The sequence below is a fragment of the Homo sapiens genome, chromosome 3 (assembly GCF_000001405.40).
Source record: "Homo sapiens chromosome 3, GRCh38.p14 Primary Assembly".
NCBI lineage: Eukaryota > Metazoa > Chordata > Mammalia > Primates > Hominidae > Homo > Homo sapiens.
In genome coordinates, this window is record NC_000003.12 from 62,533,064 (window position 1) to 62,553,248 (window position 20,185).

The 20,185-nt window shown below is 37.8% G+C and overlaps 1 protein-coding gene across 51 annotated transcripts in view, besides 2 other annotated features; it reads right to left on the minus strand.

The window, feature by feature from the left end:
* The window catches only part of CADPS (calcium dependent secretion activator), a 477,069-nt gene that overhangs the window by 134,716 nt on the left and 322,168 nt on the right, over nucleotides 1–20,185 (minus strand). For 36 of the 51 annotated variants that reach the window (XM_006713378.4, XM_047449108.1, XM_011534203.3 and 33 more), the window contains exons 11-13: nucleotides 16,840–17,052; nucleotides 11,785–11,796; nucleotides 3,382–3,518 (exon numbers count right to left, since the gene is read on the minus strand). In XM_006713378.4, the coding sequence (XP_006713441.2) occupies nucleotides 3,382–3,518; nucleotides 11,785–11,796; nucleotides 16,840–17,052 (362 nt within the window). The remainder of the gene's footprint in view (nucleotides 1–3,381; nucleotides 3,519–11,784; nucleotides 11,797–16,839; nucleotides 17,053–20,185) is intronic. The other 15 variants (NM_001438352.1, XM_011534199.3, XM_017007378.2 and 12 more) reach the window with 2 other exon arrangements.
* Nucleotides 4,688–5,398: an enhancer, noted in NCBI's record as "H3K27ac-H3K4me1 hESC enhancer chr3:62523426-62524136 (GRCh37/hg19 assembly coordinates)". NCBI's record gives its function as "activates a minimal SCP1, AML or CMV promoter by ChIP-STARR-seq in naive H9 embryonic stem cells {active_cell/tissue: H9 hESC(naive)}" and the evidence as "EXISTENCE:reporter gene assay evidence [ECO:0000049][PMID:30033119]".
* Nucleotides 5,651–5,945: a silencer, noted in NCBI's record as "tiled region #8400; K562 Repressive non-DNase unmatched - State 24:Quies". NCBI's record gives its function as "represses a minimal TATA promoter and a strong SV40 promoter by Sharpr-MPRA in K562 cells {active_cell/tissue: K562}" and the evidence as "EXISTENCE:reporter gene assay evidence [ECO:0000049][PMID:27701403]".

The following is a 20,185-nucleotide window of genomic DNA, read 5'->3' on the forward strand; positions in this document are numbered from 1 at the left end:
TAAAGAATAAAGGAGAGACTTTCTTTTAAATACAGGTTGTTTTCTGGAGAGCTGCTAGAGTTGGGAGTGGCTAGAGAAGGGGACTGAAAAATAGCCAGAGCTAACACTCCTTGATTGCCTATTATGTGCCAGCCACTGTGCACAGCATATTGCGGTTTAGTCCTCACAGTGGAACCTATGAGGTACATTCTGTTATCCCTGTTATAAAGATGGAAAGATTGAGTTCAAGAAGGGCATAAAATTTTCTAGTGAGTGATGGAGGGGGATTAGCAGACAGCTTGGTTCCAGAAACAGTGTCTCACCTACTGCTTGAACACGGAACCATACACGTTAAAGGAGTATTGGGGTGGGGATGTGGCAAAGTCGTGGTTACTGATAAGAGGAAATCATAACATTAATGCTCTACATTGATATAGAGCTTTACACTTAACAGAGAACTTTCAGTTGAGCCCTATAGCAACTCTGTAAGGTAGACAGAGAAGGTTTATTTTAAAGACAAGAAAATGGAAATCCTGGTCGTTAAGTGACTCACACAGATAATACAAAACAGAGGCAGGACTCAAATCCAGCTCTGTCATATTCCAAGTCTTCTTGTTTTCTCTACTCTAGAGCATGAAGAAATTTTAGGGTTGATCTACATACATGCCAGGACTTCATAAATCCTTTCACTTTGGAAAGAGTGTTTTTTAAATTTTTCAAATGAAGGTAATAACGCAACTCTCCAAAGAGAACAGCATGGCTTAGTTTTCAAGTTGTGAATCAGATGTAATTCCATTAAACTGAGAGGAACTTCTTGTGTCCTGGTTTAGAGTTTTATTTTCTCTTCTGGTAATTGTTTGTATTCTTATTATTTATTTGCTTGCTATGGGACCAGTCCAAACTCTGCTATACAAGACAATGGGAATTCAGATCTGCAAATTAGAGCAGGTTTGGTGGCATGATGGGATGGAAATTGCTAGCCCCATTACGCACTTAAGAAAACAGGTGCTCAGAAAGGCCAAGTGAGTTGCCACTCAAGGTCACCCTTAAGCAGAGCCTGAAATAAAATTGTGTTTTCTGGTTTCAGTGTCTGTTCAAAGCAAGAAATAAACCAATTTAGGTGATACTTTCTAAGCTGGAAATTTGGGGCTATTTTAAATATAAACTTAATTTTACTTTGAGGGTCTTCTCTGAGTCATCTTTTGAATATTGCTCCATCTTGGGAGAGAAAAGGCAAAAAGAGAAAGTGACTAGGGGGCAGGTAGAGGCCACAGAAGTACAGCGAGAGAGGCCTTTGCAACACTCTAATCTTGTATTAGGGATCTGGGAATCTTCAATTGACAACATGCAGCTCAGTGATGCATCCAACGAAAGACGGCATCTTTCCTGTTTCAAATTATAAGTTACTGCAGAGGGCGGAGAGTAGTCGAGGCAGTGGGCTGCCCCTATAGGCAACTTCTTTGCCACTCCATCTGCTACCCCAAATGCTAAATCTTAGAAACAACACTGCTGTGAAAGATTAAAATATATTTTCTACGACTCAGATGACACCAAGTCTTTTGTAGATGCCAAAATAGCTGCTTTGAAAAGAGTTGAAGAAATATCAATTAGGAACTCAGTCGAAGACACAGAAAAATTTATGTATCCCTGCTGGTCGGTCTCCAAAACTAACTGAAAAAAAGATTGTAATAATGAGAAAATGGAATATACAGAGGCAGGAGATAAGGTCCTTTTTAATTTCTGTTATTTTCTGAAATTTTGGAATAATGACTAATATACACAGGTATACAAATGGGGAAGGAAGCTATTTTATGCTATTCATAATTAATTTTAGATTCTGGACCATAATTTTAAGCCTATAAGTAATTAATGGAAAGCAAGTTTTAATATTTCATTTCTGGTTTAATTTTTTTAGAGAGCATTTATAAACTCTCCTTCACAGTGAATCTCAAAACAAAGAAAATTGTTTTAAAAAATGATAATGTGAAAAAGTCTTGGAAATAATATACCTCAAAAAAATTCCTTAAGGGAATAGTAATTATATATAAAAGGGAATGATTTAAGTTCAGAGGCACATTCTTACAAGTTTAATGAATGCCATTTATAATTATGTGAACAATCACATAATTGTACAAAACACATTTGAGAAAAATTGCCTTGCAATGCAAGGTAAGCTTTTTTCTTTTTCTTTTTCTTTTTTTTTTTTTAAGTCAAAGTGATGTGTTCCTTTCCAATTTGGCAAAGTTCAGATCCTTTTGATGAAGGAATTCTAAACCTGAGATAATCAATGAATCTTTCATGAGATACAGATTAATAAATTATTCCACATAATTCTGTTTCTGTGTTTAAGACTATTTTATCTACAATTTTTTATATCTTGGCTTTTGGTACAAAAAAAGAAATTTAAAATAAAAATTAGAAAAAAGAAAGATTGTCATTATACATATTAGTATCAATAATATCTTAACCCTACTTATTATATAGTATAAATATTACATAGAGATATTCTTCTCAACTTTAGTGTTTAGAATCAGGGATGAGAATTTTCCTCTATATAAAGACATTTCATCATTTTCCCTCATCTTTCCCATCTATAAAGTGGGATTAATAGCATTTACTTTTAAGAAATGAAATAACAATTTATGGCTTGAGGAAGAAGTAAATTGGGTCTTTTTTTAGGCGTTTGAATTTGATAGTTTAAAGCCAAAAATGTATCTTCAGAAATCCAGTAAAAATATAATAGCACTCCCTTGAATTTAAATCATTTAAATCTAGCTTTAAAATAGGATTTCAGGAAATATTGATACTCCTGCTGGATAGATAGCTGAATTTCCAAATAACTAAAGCACCATAAAAAATTCCCTGAAAGGGTGAAAAAATGCTGTGAATATTGTGAAGAAAAAAAAAAGCCATCCAAACAAACAAACAAACCCAAATCAATTTAGCTTATGAAAAATAAAGTTTATTTACAAATCATTTTAACCTTTAAGAAAATACACAAAGAGAATACATTCATGTAATGAGATAGGATTACCAGATCTGGGATGGGGAGGGAAGGGCATCTTAAACTCTAAGCTACTGAGGCAATTTTTACAAGTTCTCCACAAGCAGGTGCCAAACTCGATTACCCTCTTGGGAATATTTCTCATGTAGCAGCTGAAAAGGGGGAAGCTAAGATAGGGAGGCTGGGGAATTGGATCTGTTTCTACTGATAACTTCCTCCCGCTCAGTCTTGTTTCTTTGGTAAGTAAAACTATCTCAACCCAGGAAATCGGGAACACATTTATAATTGTTAAAGGGATTCTGTAATGGAGAAAAGAGCTTCTGACATAAAGGTAGAGAAATATTTAAATGAAAAAAAATGTTATGTTTAAATTGCTGTAGACCAAAGAATATACTTGCCAGGCAAGAATAGGAATCATTAAGTCTGTGATCCAAAGTAAGGCGTTGTACCATCTCAAAGAGGGAAGCGTGGTCAAAGTTACAGGGGTTGGAAGAGATAAATTCATCCATGCCATGTTTTTGAGCTCTATCTGCGTCTGTTCATTTATACATGTAGAGAGAGACACAATTTAGAGAAACACATCACATTTTCTTTGACATTTCAAATACACAGGAATTCACTAGACATTATGAACGTTAGCTGTTTCCCCGTTGCCTCCCACCAACATCCCCAAGATATTCTTTTTACCTCCCATTGTCAACTTGCATCACTTACTGGTGAGTTTATTGCATTTAGGCAAGAAGATATTGGCATCAACATGTTTATCAAATGATCACATTTCCAGTGCATTTATGTTGTTCTTTAAAAACTAAGCATAAGACCGTAACTTCGCCTGCATTTCACCAAACACTGAAAGCAGATCGGATCTTTGCTTAAGATAGCCTATTTAGCTTTGCTGGTTTTTAATAGATTCTGCCATTCCAGTGGTTATGTCTACAGCAATTTCTCTGCAATTATTGGGATTATCTGGAAAAAGGGTTATGCTGATTTTCAGCAAAGTGACAATATTTATATCGTCTTCTTCCAAATCCCCATTGCCAATTTGGTTTCATAAAAGGTTTGAGTCCCCACCCTGCAAAATTAAAAATAAAAAAAACGATTTTCATTGAAACCTGGAGATTAAGTTAAATGGGAATTTAGTTTGTGAAAATAAAGGACATTTCCTTATAGTGTGCTTACTCAGTTAGCAAAGCTTAGGAAAGAGACAAACAAATTTACTCAGCAAGGGCTATGATCTGCCATTTATTGTGAATTAATAGTCTCAATGTATTCACACTTTTCCTTACGGGGTGAAGGCTGTAGGCAAAACCTCCTAAGGGCTAACTAATTAATCTCAACATGTGTAACTAAAATACACTATACTCAACAGGCAAAATAACTCAGAGAATTCAACTCGTGTGTGTCCAGGCAAATCCTAAAGAGGTAGAAATGAAGGTGCTCTCCATTAAAGAAATTGGCTCACTCCACCTCATCTTTACTGACTCTCCTGATACGCAGACTTTGGAGAAAAAGAATCTTCTATCAAATCTAGCAAAAGATTTTATTCATCCTTTTTCATGAAACATCTTACTGGAATACGGGGACCTGCCAGGAACTAGCGATGCTGTCAGGACACGGGAAAAATCGATTTCTGACTTGGGAGTAGTTTGGATAACATTTTCATGTGTGGCCTCAGTCCCAGGCAGCTTTTTTTTTTTCCTCTCCCATGCTTGGGGTATGGCTGTAAGCTTGGGTTATGGTTAGCAGTGTCACTTCCAGATGATGATTTCTCCTATTATTATTGATATTGTATTAATAAATCATTCAAACCTAAATCCATGGTATGGTCAGATTTATACCTCCTTATTGTTTGACTTTTTTAAAAAAACGTTGTCATTTTTCATAGAAGCAGCAAGTGGTCCTTGTTTGAACGAGATGTGGCGTTTATGCCCAAGACTCGCAGAAGCAACGGTTTCCAGAAGGCAAGTTGAAGAATGTGTATTTTAACAGCCAAATCGCTCCATTAGAATAATAAAACACAGCTTTTGGAAAGGATATCACATGTGCAGGAATTATATTAGAGAATCTGAGAGAATCCTCCTTGCTGCATTAACTGCCTCAGATTTATCCTCAGGAAAGTGCTTTCAACTTGAGGTTGGCTGCTTCATCTAGGAGGCTTCTTTCAGTTCGGTTGTTTGGTCTCCAAACTACATTTCTTCTTTGACTTAGGATGGCCAGGAAGTTGTTGCTCCTGGGAAAGCTAGCTGCTTCTAGGGCATGTGTGTGACTCCTCTGGCCCAAGGCAAGTGTCTTAAACCTGCTCCAACTGTAGTCTCCCCTGGCATAATGACACTCCTGCAATCCAGGTGACATTTCTCTATCGCCTTTGATAGACTCTGCCCTCTCACCTCCAACCTGTCAGTCCCAGATCAATTTAACTCAGGAGAAACTAAGCATGGGGTACACACGAATTGCTCATGCTGTTTCATCCTCATAAAAAGCCTCATCCATCCCTCGCCTCCCAATTTTAACAGATAGATCAGGCATTTTGGCTAGCAGCAGCTTCTTGCTCTCGGGTTTCTCAGAAAAGGCTGCAAACTGACAAACCGGCCGGGGCCTTACTCTGCCAGTTTGGCTTGGCTATTTTATTGCCTTCAATTATGATGGTACAACTGGTCATTTAGCTCAGAGAGAAGGGGGCTCTTTTGTAGCTGTTAAAAAAATATGGCACATGTTTCAAGTCTCTTTCTCTTTGTTTGTTTGTTGAAACTCTTGAAAACTTTGCTGATGACCTATTTCACTTTGCTGGCCACTCAGGAAATGGATCTGAAAAGGCGACTTGGCTCCTTTATGGAGACCTGGATTCAGACCCACTCCCCACCCCTCAGTCCATCACAATGGCTCAATGAATGCAGCTTTGTGGTGCTAATTCTAGTCGAAGTCTAAAGAACAATTTCATTTTTTACTAACGTTTTAAAGCAAGCTTACAGAAAAGCCTAAAATCAGCCTGCTTTCATTTTCAAAAAGTAACCTTGTCAAAATAAAACTTCCTTTTCCCTTCTTCCTTTCTTTCTTCTTTCTCCCCATCCACTTGTAGCATGAGCCTAGGACTGGATCTAGGAGGTCTAGATTTTAGGTTGAGCTCTGTTTTTAAAAAACTGTAGGATGCTGGCTGAATTGTTTATCTCTGAGCATCAGTTGCCTTCTGTGTAAGAGGAGCTGAATTTTCAGTTCCCTTCCTGCCGTTATAGGCTGTAATTTAATGATCCTTAAGATCCCTTGCACACTATGTGTGGAATGGAGCTTAATGCAGTGGGAATTTCCAGCAAGTAAAGCGAGCCACCTCTGGATTTTACTTGCCCCAAATTATCATTTACTCAAAATTGGGCTCATTATTCTAATGGTTCCCACAACTCAAGAGCGCTTACAAGGGTGGCTGGCTCCCACAAAATCTTTGAGTTTCATTGAGCTTATTATATTTACTGAGCTTATTATGTTATAAAAAAAAAAAGAAGGAGGAGTAAGCCAGGAGTGCTGTTTCAAGGTGCTAATGAAAAAAATCTGATGTTTAAGCTCATCCAAGCAGGGGTTTCGGTATTTTTTGTTTGTGCTACATTCCCAGCCCTAGAATAGTACCTGGCACGTAGTAGGCACTAAGCACATATTAGTTAAAATCATAAGTTTATCTTCTCAGAATAAATACAGAAACTCACTCTATTAACAAATATTTTTCTTTCTTGATTTTATGGCATATTTATATACTACATTGATTGGAAACGGCTTATTTAATGGGAGCTAGCATAGCAAGTGGTTAAGTGGCTGGGCATAGGCAGGTCACAAACACTAGATTTGAGACTAGCTCTGCCACCACTAGGTATATGATATGAGGCAGGTTGCTTAATGCCTCTGGGCCTCCTTGGCCTCATTTGTAAAATGAAGTTAAATTCAAGTCCACCTTCAGAGGACTGTTGAGAGGATCTGAAGAGAAGTACCTGGAAAGTACCTAGGGCCCTGGCATATATTAAGGGCTCAATAAACATTAGCTAGGAGTAAACAAACAGGATCTTTAGTGTTTGAAAAGCCAGTTTGTTTCAAGTAGTTAGTGAGCCAAGGATGTCTCTGCATTTATAGCTAATGTTCTATTCCTTCTTTGCTTCTTAAACCTTATCATTTCTAGGAAGCTGGGAGTCCTTCCCTATCTCTCTGCTTTATTTTTCTTTTCTGCCCCTGTATAACCAATTCCTATGTCCTGTTTCTGTGTTTTCATTGGGTTATTTTCCAGTTTCTCTGTGGTCAAGACACATACATAAAATTGAATCCCTTGGTAGATAACATGTTCTGTGAGGGCAAGTTTCTAATCTGTTATTTCCCCTGCCAGCTCTTAGAGGAGCCAGGTCCTCAGGAGGGGTTATTAACTGGCTTACTCTGACACCTTCATCCCAGTAAACTTCTCATTGACTTTATTAAGGAGTCACACACATGGGGATTCAGATGGTATCTTGCAAATCCAAAAGTAGGAACATGTGCTCTTAGGGGAAAAAAATCTTATAGAAGGAAACAGAATTCTAGGTGCAGGTGTCTTTGGATACCATTCAGATTGTCTGCCTGTGTCTCCATACATGTCTAGGACCATATGCATTACATATGTTGTCTATTTTAAAATAAAACACTGCAGTGGTCCAGCTGTTCCAAATTCTGTTTCAAAGAACTTGTGGGCGCTTCCCAAGCAACACCATACAGTCATTCTTGCACTGTCCCGGTCTGTTCTTCCACAGTGTCAAACATAAAAAAATAAATGCTCCTTGCAACTCCATTTTTTCCCTGTACAAACAGTTGGAATTGGTTGATTAAAGAAAAAGAAAACTCCAATGTTGACATTAGCAGAGGGAAAACAGCCCAGAGCAAGCAGTATGAAAGAGTCAATTCCTGAATTCAGGACATTCTGGGATCACTTCCTTTGCCAATATTTGGCATGTGTCAAGAGAATGAAAATGAATTTGAACATCGGGTTAAGCAAAAAGGAATTAGGAGGGTAAAGTGGCTGCTTAAAACCCCAGTGATGTTTGGATGATCTCTTGCTTTGGGAGATGCATCCTAATGCTCTTTTTCATTAACCGTATTTTTCTAGAAATCAACGATTGACATTTTAAGAACCAATTTCAATCATCTTTACCTGTGTCAGACCTAGTCTTAGGAAGTAGTTCCTAAGTCCTGCTTGGTCTTCAAGGGCTCCAGATGTACTGATGTACTGACAGTGAGCTATATGATTTTATAGGCTCTGCAGCTAGGGCATAATTCAACACACCTTGCAAACATTGCTACCTGTTTCACTTCGGGGGTTTAATTGCATAAGGATTTTTCAGTCCTTTATGACATGGGCATAGGAGACTGACTTCAAACTAAGCTTGGATGGATAACGCTGCTATTGGTACTGACATTAAGAAATTTCAAGCACTGTCAATGGTTTCTATGACATAGATGCAGGTTGATGAACATACAGACTTACGGAGAGCAGGTGCACTTTCAAGCGGAAACTAGTCTAAACCTTGCCCCAAGTTTGCTTGGAAGTAATTTTGGCTTGACATTTAAGGAATGTTGGGAAAACACTGGTTCCTAAAGTGATACTATTATGTGGGTTTTATACTCTCATCTCATTTAATCTACTTTATTAAAATTCAAGTGGTATGGTCCCTAATTGACTACTCTGTCATCTATGTTGTTCTTTGATCATGATATTTGGGTTCATTTCATGTTTGATAGTCTTTTCCTTTTTTCCTCCCTCACAAATGAAAACCATATACTATTTTTCATGATCTATTATCTCAGTATCAAGCACACTTATATGATCTTGTTTCTAACATATATATTTTTAGATAGACTTGCAATAATGTCTAGCAAATAAATGTAATTTTCCTGGAAGAATAATGTAGTTTTCAAATTTTTATTTTATTGAAATTTTCCTATTATACTAACAGCTTAGGGATTGAAGATAAAAGGTCAAATCTACCTTTTTATTCTGTGATATTACATTTTGGAAATTTTTCTGGGCTAGTGAAAAATTCACTGTTGAAAATAATTATGATTATATTACTAACAAATTGTCTGAAAGAGGCTCTTCTCTCTCATGAATCCCTTTTGTAATAAGCTAGAGGTAGCTGTTTTAACATTGGAATTTAGAGCACAGTTATGGCTGTTGCTACTCCTGATGGATGCTAGAGGCAAGAGAATAGCTAATGCAACTCTAAAGTCATCTGTGAACCCAAACTGCAAATTAAAAGGTGACTTTGTATTTCTCTTATACGGAAAATGTGTGCTTGTCATATCTGCTTGACAGTACAAGAGTGAATGTATGGTTTGGACAATAACGAACAATGACAGTAGTCAGCCTCATCAGAAGACATGAAATAAAGAAATGACAATGACTGATGGCAGCTGGTTGTTTATGGATTTTTCTAGAAGAGCTTTCCTTGGAATAGTCAAGTAACCAGGGGATGTTGTGCCCTGCCTGAGCTCTGCACAGCAAGCAAAAGACTGGTCCTCACATGCCTGCTGCCCAGAGGCACAAATGGACCACTTAATTGAGAAACAACTTAATTGCTTCGTGGTCCCTTTAGCTAAACTGGGGTAATATGAATGGCCAAAAGAGGATGGCTTCTTTGGAAGCTCTCAAGGCTCACATTGCATCATGCAGAAATCTTGAATTTAAAACTACTATGGCAATACCCCCAAAAGGATAAGTGTGTGATGTTTATTTCAATGTTAATTTCTATAATTATTTGTCAGACAATTGCTTTGAGTAAAAATCATAACAGAGATTTTGTCAAAGATCTCAAGCAAAATAAATAAATGATTTTAGTTTTCTCCTGCTGTAGTTATATTAACTTACAGAGTACTCGATGTTTTTGCACTCACTCCAACATGAGCAAAAATAAATTTTCTATACCTGATTAATAATCTTACTATAACTCACTATATGGCATGAAAATACTCAATTAACTAGTGAATAATATGTTAAATATGTCTTACGTAGTTAACAGTGAGGTAAACCTTCATTTAATATGGTCTGTTTAGATCAAATCATGGTGTTTGGAAAATTTTAGACCTGATTGTGGGAACATATTCTTTTAAAAAGTGATTTACTTTTACAGTGAAAAGGGACATGATTTACAGTATGGTTTTGGGTCAAACAAATTATGTTAATATTGAATTAATTATTTGATATTGCATTCCTGCAACGTAGCAACTGCAAGTTGACAATATAAGAAGATATAGCAAAATTTTATGAGATAAAACTACAGAAAGGAATTAAGGCAAACAATTGTTTAAAAATCTACTAGGATAGCAATGCGTTGTTGTGCAAATACATGTAAACTTGTTTAGAACAGAATTCATTCAGTTAACTATTCATCCATCCTTTCTTTCATTCTTTAAAAAAAGTATAGCAAAATCCTAAATTCCCACTAAGTTTACATTCTATGATAAGCCTTTTAAAATGCCTCATCAGACATTCAAGAAAAGTAAAGTCAAATTAAGTATCTGCTTGAAGTGGTGAAAAACGTCTGTCTGCTAGCCAGGGGTACATTTATGCAAAATAAAAGAAAAAAGAAAGAAAGGGAGGAAAAAGCAAATTAAAGAAGGAAACAAAAAAAATTTGAAGAAAAGACTATCATTAAATGGTCAGGAGAAATGATATGACCTAGTTCTTCTAAATTAGCATTCAGAATACTCAAATACATAGTTGCCTGCTCTCTTGACCAATTTTTCTAACTCCGTCTAACGTCAAGTCTTTCCTCAACACATTTTTGGTTGATAGTTTTTTCCTATATAAATTAAGGAAGTATGTGTTCTTTTTTATTAATAACTCGAATAGTTAAGAGAAATATTTTTCTAAAGTTTTAATGTCTCCTTTTTCTCTTACATGGGTATTTTTAGAAAAATTAATACAAATACAAATGATGTCAAAAAAGTTATTGTTGTCATTGTTCTTGGGGGAGTAGCAGAATGACATTTGATACCAGAGGTTAAATGTCAACCTTGATACCAAGGTTAATACCTTGGCATTGTAAGACTGTGAATCCAAAGCATTTGTAAATGAGTGACATGGATTCAGTCTTGTCCTTAATTTCCTGTTTTTGTGTGTGCTAGTTCCATGTATTGTAGCTCTCCTTTCAAAATTAATCCTCTATTGGGTCTTACATTAGAGCACACCCTTAAGCCAGCTAGAATGAACTCTTTAGTGTTCAAATAATGCATTTGCTTTCTTAATTGTATTTTGCAATTTCTTCTAGTCTTGCTCAGTTAACAACTCTGGGTTTCCTACCCCACTTATTTTTTAAGGTATCCATGGTTACCACACCACTGGTACTCTGACCATTCGAATCTTTGGAATGGGAAAGGAAAAACAACAACAACAACAACAACAACAGCACATTATCAGAGTGCAAAATGATCTGTTTTCAGGCATTAAGCAGTCAGGTAGCTGTGAATTACATGAAACAAAGGCATTATTTGCCATTTTGTTGTGATGTTAATTAATATTCTTGGAATGAAAAAAAATTAGACGTTAATGGTTGGCTTTACTCAGAGGATCATTTGATGCCAATATGAAAGCCAAGGAGAGGAGGCAATTATGCACACATCACATGCATCCTAGTTTCAGTATGGAAGCTTACATTTCAAACCTAAGGTCAGGAAAATAACATGAAAAGTTGTACTACAAATTCTAGACATGAGGAAGATTTAAGGGGGAGGGAAGCACATTGCAGGTGTCAGATAATCTAATCTGATTATCTGAGCTGTGCTAGCTATAGGGGAGCACTTACCCTTCAGTCCAGCTAGAAGTTAGCAGGGTAAGAAGGAACAAACCAGAATAACATAAAGACTAGCAACAAGGCTCAGGAAAGCAGACAGGAGTTCTAACCTAGCAGCCTAAGTTCTTGGGTTCGAGCAAAGATTGAACAAGAAAACTTAAACAAAACAAAACAAAAAACAAAATCAACCTCCCCCAAACCAACAGTAACCCAAATCCCCCTAACTGTTGAAGACGTTCAGGTGGTAGCAAAAATAGAACAGTTCTCAAAAATACCCAGCTTTGGGGTTCTATGATGTGATTAACAGTTATTAGTTGAGAAACAGACATTAAAATGACTCATTGCAAGTGATATATTAAATAACCATTGATCAAATGTCAAAGCTTAAAATACCCTCTTCCCCCACCCCACCCTAATCCAAATGAGAATTGAGGTACTAATTTTTACTGTTCCACTAACACATAATGGACAGGGGATAAGGTATCTCAATGAGAGGCCACTCAGCATAATAAATCGTGGAACACTCAGCTACAGATTGACATCATTTCCAAGGTAAGCAGCATTGGCCTTAAAAATCGGGGAATTGCAAGAATTTGTTTAAAAACATTGTATAGCTAGGTGCTGACTTAATTTTGTTAAATTTTAACAAAAAAGAAAAAAATTAAATCAACAATGACACACACAAAAAAACTACAAAAGAACAAAAAAGTTTTAAAGGTTGGTGAAACCCTCCCAAAAATCTCTGTAGAGTCACACACAAACTAATGAATAGCAGGATCTATTTTTTTCAGTTTTTACAGTTCCACATAAATACCCCACTCCACTCTTCTCGAAGTGTCTTTTCATTTTAAAACTGAGCTTTTGAAATTGCAAAAAATAAAAACTGTTAAACTGAATTTAGAAAGACCCAAATAAACTCACAATTACTCCCAAGTTTTCCAAACTATAAAAATGGTCCATTCTTAAGTTTCCCTTAAACAGACAGTGACATGACAAGACTGGAGTGTTTCTTTTTCTCTACCCCAAAAATATTTCTATATTGCTTCCCTTCTCTATGTATTTTTCCATTTCTACGTAGCTTCCTTTTGTCTTGTAAATACTAATAAAGCGATTATAGAGTTAAGTCACTGAAAGATTGTTGTTCTTAAAAATTATTCACTAGCAAGAAAGGCAAGTACTTTGAACAAATATTCAAAAACAAGATTTAATGAGATGTGTGCAGAGTTAAGTACTTAACAATGACCCTTACCTTTTTGGAAGTCAAGGAAACCTTTTTAAAATGCAATACTTGATTTTTTTTTTTTTTTACATTTTTTGTTAGCTAGAGAATCTGTGATTGACTTAATTTTTGTGATGTGACTTGATTAAAATAAATCAGTGTATAGATTGGCAACCAAATGTAAGTGAAGAATGAAAATTTGTTCTTTACAACTATGTTATGACTGTTTTTCATCTTTCTTGCGTGGTAGTACCTGGTGACCAATCCGTCCTACTTTGCTCAGGATTGAAGCGTTTCCTGGGACACAGGATTTTCAGTGCTAAAAGGAGAGACGTCCTGGGCAAACTAAGATGACTTGGTCACGGTAAGTATGAATCAACACTGTGGGTTTGACTGAGTTACCCATGTGTAAGGCTTGATCTATTTAGTACTGACGGTTTGAATTTTACAAATTACAGCAGCTGTGAAGTAATTATGAACTAACCACCATTCTGTGGCTTACTCCACTAACAATTATGCAGTCAGCTCTTCAGTATCCAAGGGTTCTGCATCCATGGATTCAACCAGCGGTGGATTGAAAATATTCAGAAAAAAATTACATCCATACTGAACATGTACAGACCTTTTTTTGGTCATTATTCCCTGAACAATACAGTGTAATAACTATTTACAGAGCATTTGCATTATATCCAGTATTATAAGTAATCTAGAGATGTTTCAAATTACATGGGAGGATGTTTATAATTTATATGAAAATACCATGCCATTTTATAAAGGGGATTTGAAAATTCATGGATTTTGGTATCTGCAGGGGGTCCTGGAACCAATTTCCCATGGATACTGAGGGAAGACTGTATTCCCTCATATCTAGACACTTTTTTCTCTTTTGGTTGCTGTGCATAACTACCCAATGATACCATGGAATGTAAAATTCCTGGTTCCTTTCTTGATCTTTTTGTAGATGCTCAGGCATAAAGGTTGGGTTGATTAAATCCTAACTGGTTGTCTCTGATGGCTTGTAAATTATAGGAACAGAAGCCACACTGGCTGGTACTCTGGCTGCAGTTTTTATTAAGTGCTTAAACTAGCAATAGATAGAATTTGGAGCAGTGTTGAAGCTCTGTTGCAGGGATAATAAAGTAACCATGGGACGGCTGGGATCCACACTATTAGACTGAAGTTCTGGGTAAGGGCTGCCATTTATTACATGGCCACTGTGTACAGTTGTGCAGATTTGGCACTGCAGAACTCAATGGGTGCCATTCATATTTTTGTGTATGTGCAAGGTGTTTCCTGTATTACACAGTCTCCATAGCTGATTGTAGTGGCTTGTTCTTTTAGAACCTGGTAGATGTAGCAGGGCCTCATGCTCTCTGAAGAACTCCCGTTCCTCGGCAGTAATAAAGGAGACAGTACAGAAGAAGGTAAATCTACCACTAGGTACTGATAAATCCCAATGGCATGCATGATCTGGTTTTCTCACTCATTTCTCAGCCTACTTTACATATTCCCTAGGGATGATATCATTTACGCCCCCCCCCCCCCGCAAATTCTAACTCTTAGGAGTTTGCTTTGGATGCTCCATTTAACAAAAGTTCCTTATTTCAACTAGAGTAGTGATACACATCAAGCTGTGTGTATTCAATTGAGTCTTTCTGCTGATGCCTAACAACTAGTGTTCTAATTTCACAACTAAATGAATCCTATCCACAGACAGAAATCTAAATCAAGAGCCCCCATGCATTTCCATGAAGAGACATCTCTTCTTCAGCAGCTTCCATCACAGGTTTTCTTTTTTAATCGATTTCTTGTCTCTAATTTTACTCCTGAATGTCCTTCATCTTATACTAGTGAGGAAAAAGTGGGGTCAATAGCAAACCATGTAGCAGTTTCTTAATCTGGGCAGATGATAGAACAGAGACACTGAATGTAAGGTGAAATGACTTTAGAAGAAATGAAGATTATTTGGAAATAAGACCAGTATTTTCCAAATATCACCTGAGATACATGCTTTATGAGGTTGATTTGAATGGTGATTATAGTTAGAATTTTTTTCTGATACAGGGGGTAACTTCTTTTCAAGAGGTTACGATAGGATGTGTTGTTTCCAAATGAATTACAAAGGAGCATGTTGCCCAAGGTGAAAGGAGGGATTTTTGTCATACTTTAAAAAAAACACACAACAATTAAACAAATACTGGGTATGATTTATCTTGACTAATAACTATTACTCTCTTTACTGCTCTCAAGTAAACCTAAGTGCAGGAAGATGTTAGAGAATACAAGAGTGGAGAACTTGGTGGTAGGTGTGGGCAATCTCTTTCTTATTCTTTCATGATTTTCTGTGTGGAAACTCACAGCCATTATATGATTATTTACACTGTTCCACAAGGGCATGCATCACCATCAGTACTGGACAGGAATTCCTGGGAGCATCTGATAGACAGAATTTGTGATCCAAAAGAAGTTGTATTTCCTGATCAACAAGGGTGTTGCAAGGTGTAAGAATATAGTCTTGTTGGACAGAAATGGACATGGCAGTAGAATTCACTGAAATACAAGTTTACCTCTATTTAGTAGTTACAGCTGCAAAATTATTCCACCCACATCCATATTCTGTTTAAGAGCAACAGAGGAGAGATCGTGCAAGCACTGTGTTAGAGGTTAAGTCTCTGCATTTGCATTTGTTTTCCTTCAGCTGCAATTCTCTTTCCTCAAATATCTGTGGGGCTGACTACCTATCCTTTGAACCTAAACTCAGGGAAAGCTTCTTTGTTTGTCTAATGTCTCTCCTTCTCACTCAGTCACCACTAAATGACATTCTTCATGGTATTTACCAGTGTCTGAAGCTCTCTTATTTATCTGTTCACTTGTTTACTATCTAGGCTTCCCCACTGGGATGCAGGTATTATAAGAGCTGGTACCTTGTCTGTCCTTCTCATTAGCATGTCTTATTTCTAGACAGTTGCTCAATGACCTAGAATGAATCAGTGAATTCCATACTAAAGTAATAAATCATCATGATTATTGCTAAAAATGACTTGTACCTGTGTCATCTCTGATTGACTTGATATTCAGGGTAAAGCAAAAGACTCTATTTAGAATGAATGTTTGGAACGAAAATGAATTACTTTATTTCTCCATTTTCTTTGTTTTAATAAATATTTCCAAACATGTACTGGCTTTCACCTCACCCTGTGTATCAGAAGTATTGATAGATAAAAGCCATTTTAGGTAGCAAGAAGACATGGAAAAGGGGCAAGAAATTAAATGTATGCAGAGGTAAGAGGAGAAAAAACTCGAATATGAACTGGGGCTGTTTAAGGAGACAGTTTCATTTTTGGGTCTTCGGTATTTTAGCTCGGAATGGGATTTTAGGTACCATGTTTTGTGTTTTTTTTTTTTTTTTCGCTGCATGTGATAATGTCATCATTTATTTTTAAATGGTTCTAAATTGCAGATTTAAGTTGATTTCAAATCAACCCTATTTTTAAATTACTTTTAATAGGAAGAAATGAAGCAAGGACATACATAATCTACTATATTTGAAGGACTCAAACAAATACATGTTTGGCTGTGAATTCTGTACTCTCACCAAAACAGAGATAAAAATCCACCTAAAATACACTTTCCTTCATTTAGTGCTTGTGGGAGAAGGTCAAGTATTGCACTTTAAAATTACTTTCATCTAACATTTGCCCCAACTTTCCCCCTGAATTCACTATATGTTTTCAGCAAACATGATTTTATAAATTTTAAGTATAAAAGCAACTAGGTTTTCTAATTCAACTTTGGAAGGTTTACTTTACTCTACAGAGCTATTTTTGTAAAACGGCATATTTACTTACAAAATTGAGAGATAGGGGCATCCAGCTGAGGTACATTTCCTCCCTTGGCGTTGAGTTTCTGGACTTGGGTCGGGGGCACAGGCTTGTGTGACTGCCCCGTGGCCCGATACATGGCCTGGACCCACAGGATGCGGTCTTGTTCATCGTCACTGGCAAATATCACGGTGTCTCCCTCCTTGACAGCATTGAAGAAGGCTCGGCCACCCTCCAAACCTGGAAGAAAAGGGAGTAACAACTTCTACTAAGCTGAGCTGTGATGTTCTCAACTGGACTCAGCCTTTGAAAAAGCAGTTTCTGCTGCTTTTCCTTGGGACAGAAGAGGGGGGTAGTGATTAACTTAGGATGGGAAGTCTGAGATTCACTTGTCCACAGAGTGGGACCGTGATGTTGAAGAAGTATTTCTGAGCCTGGATCTTATCTTTTTGTGTCCTGCTGGGGATAGAACTGCCAAGCAGGCTGCCTGCTTGGGGGATAAACATCTGCCTATAAACATACTATTTTCTCCCTCATCTTTAAACACAAACAAAACAACAACAAAAACCTCTCTTTACCACATCTCTCCCTTCAGCTACTGTCCTATTGTTCTTCTCTTTACAACGAAAGGGAAATCTCTACCAAGGCTTTTCCAATTTTAGTACCCATACGAACCCCCTGGGCATGTTGTTAAAATGCAGCTTCTGATTCAGTACGTCCGGAACAGAGCTTGAGGTGCAGCATTTCTAACAAGCTCCCAGATGATTCAGATGGCGCTGGTGTGAGGACCACATGTTGAGTAGCAAGGGTCTCTCCCCTCCTTTTCTGCCTTACAACCCCTCCAATCAGGCTGCTGCCCCACTGAAACTTGTCCAGGTTTCAGTGGACACATTGCTGAATAACCAGTGACCTCCACATTGCTGAATCCAATGACTGATTAAAAGCCCTCATTTTATTGGGCCCACCCACCTATCAGCAGCATTTGCACTCCCTTCTCTTCAAGATGCTTTCTTTACTTAGCTTTCAGGAGGAAACCCTGACTTTCCTCCTACCATCCTGGCTGCTGCTCCTTAGTCTTGTCTGGTGGCTCCTCCTCCTCCTCTTCCTGATTTTTAAATGCTGGGCTTCTGTCCTTGCCCTTCTTCTCTTCCTTAGAAGCACCCTCTCTCATGGTGATGCCAACCAGCCTTTAAGTACCATGAGTATGCTGATGGCCTTCACACTTCTCTCTCCAACCTGGACCTCTCCCCTGGACTCCAGACTTGAATATCTTTCTTGACTTTTCCCCAGGGATATCTGATAGACATCCCAAGCTTGTGAAACCCAACAATGAACTCCTGGTCTTTCTCCCTGACCTCCTCAGCAAAGCTGAGCCCATCTCTCTTGCCACTCAAGTCCCCAGTCTTGGGGTCAATTCTGACTCTTTACTTTCTTTCACTACCCACTTCCAATGAATCATGAAATTCTGATGGTTCCACCGTTAGGACATTACCAGAATTTGATCACTTCTTCCATCTCCAGTTGCGGCCATCATAAATGTAGCCAGGATCATCCCTGGATTATTTTAATAGCCTCCTATCTGACCTGTCTGCCTCCATCCTCATTCTCTATAGTTGATGCTCACAAGGCAGCCAGAGTCCCTGATTTAGCACTAGAGTCAGGTCCTGTCACTCTTCTGCTCAAAACCTGCCAGCAGTTCCACGTTCCACTCAGAGGAAAAGCGTTGGTTCTGACAAGGCCTGAAAGCCTCCCATGAATTGGTCCTCTGCCACCTCTAACCTCCTCTCCTAATACTCTCTCTCTCCCTCTATGCACACATGTACTCACTTCATTGCAGCCACACTGGCCTCTTGCTCTTCCTTGAACACCCCAGGCATGTGCTCACCTCAGTACCTTTGCAATTGCTTTTCTCTGTGCCTGGAGCACTCTTTTTTCAGGTATCTGCATGATTCACACTCTTATCTCCTTTGTATCTTTTCCTAAACATCACATTCCTGTTGAGACCTTCCCTGACCTCCCTTCTTGTGACCTATCTCTTATCTTGCTTAATTTTTCTTTTTTGCTCCTATTACTTTTTAGCAAACTATATAATTTACTTTGCTTCATAAGTGCAGGTAGTTTTTGTCTATTTTGCTTACTGCTGTATCCCTGGAGCCTAGAATAGTGCATGGCACATAGTGGGTGCACAAATATTTGTTGAATAAATGAATATGCTCTAGATCCATCTTTTTCCATGGGCAGTTCTCAAGGTTAAAATTTAGCGAGAAGTGCATGTTCTCACTCATAGGTGGGAATTGAACAATGAGAACACATGGACACAGGAAGGGGAACATCACACACCGGGACCTGTTGTGGGGTGGGGGGAGGGGGGAGGGATAGCATTAGGAGATATACCTAATGTTAAATGACGAGTTAATGGGTGCAGCACACCAACATGGCACATGTATACATATGTAACAAACCTGCACGTTGTGCACATGTACCCTAAAACTTAAAGTATAAAAAATAAAAAATTAGTGAGAAGTAGGTGGAAACTTCTCTTTGGGTTCAGGCCAAAGCTACATTGTGTCCATCAACATATTCTAGAAACCTGTATTTTAGATTACTCAGCATTCTCTAGCTGGAAATAATACTTCATATCTTCATCAGGTTCCTCGTCGCCTCCTCAATTATTAAAAACTAAGAGGAGAATGAATGAGTTATTAGCATCCCCAAATTTCCAGTGAGGTCCAGCCAGTAATCTGTTTGACATTTGTCATTGGAAAAGATTTCTGGTAACATTAAGACTTCTTCATTGTGCCGATGCAATTTATTGAGGTGTCTATGCTGCAAGCGTGGGTGTGTATTGATAGTTTTGCACTTGGAATGGCCAGGGATTTAGGACAATAAATAGCTACTTCTTTATATGGAGGGTCTGATAATATCACACCAATAAAGCTTTACTAAAAGATTTTTGGTGGTTTTTATTATAAGGGACTATTTTGCTTAATTTCATATGGAAAGTTTTAAAATACCTAATTTGAGTAGGATGATGTGTAGTTAGCAAGCTGGGAAAATCTGATGAACCTAATGAATAGCACAATAAAAAGGAAAATTCTGAAAGGGGAAGGAGGAGGAAGAAGAGCTCTGAGAGTTGTTTTAAGCCTGAAAAGTGAGCAATAAAGAGTTAAAAAAGGAAGAGCAGGTCAATAGACCTGTAGCCTAGTCTCGTGGTATCCTTAGGAATAAGCTGTTTTGCTACAGTCAGGGAATGCCAGGACAAACACGATCAGGTATCACTTTTACTAGCCCCAAGGCCTCCCCCTCACCCAGGGCCTGCTGCTGGGGTAGAGATACTGTATTTCTGGAGCTACCGTCAGAAAGTCAGTTCATG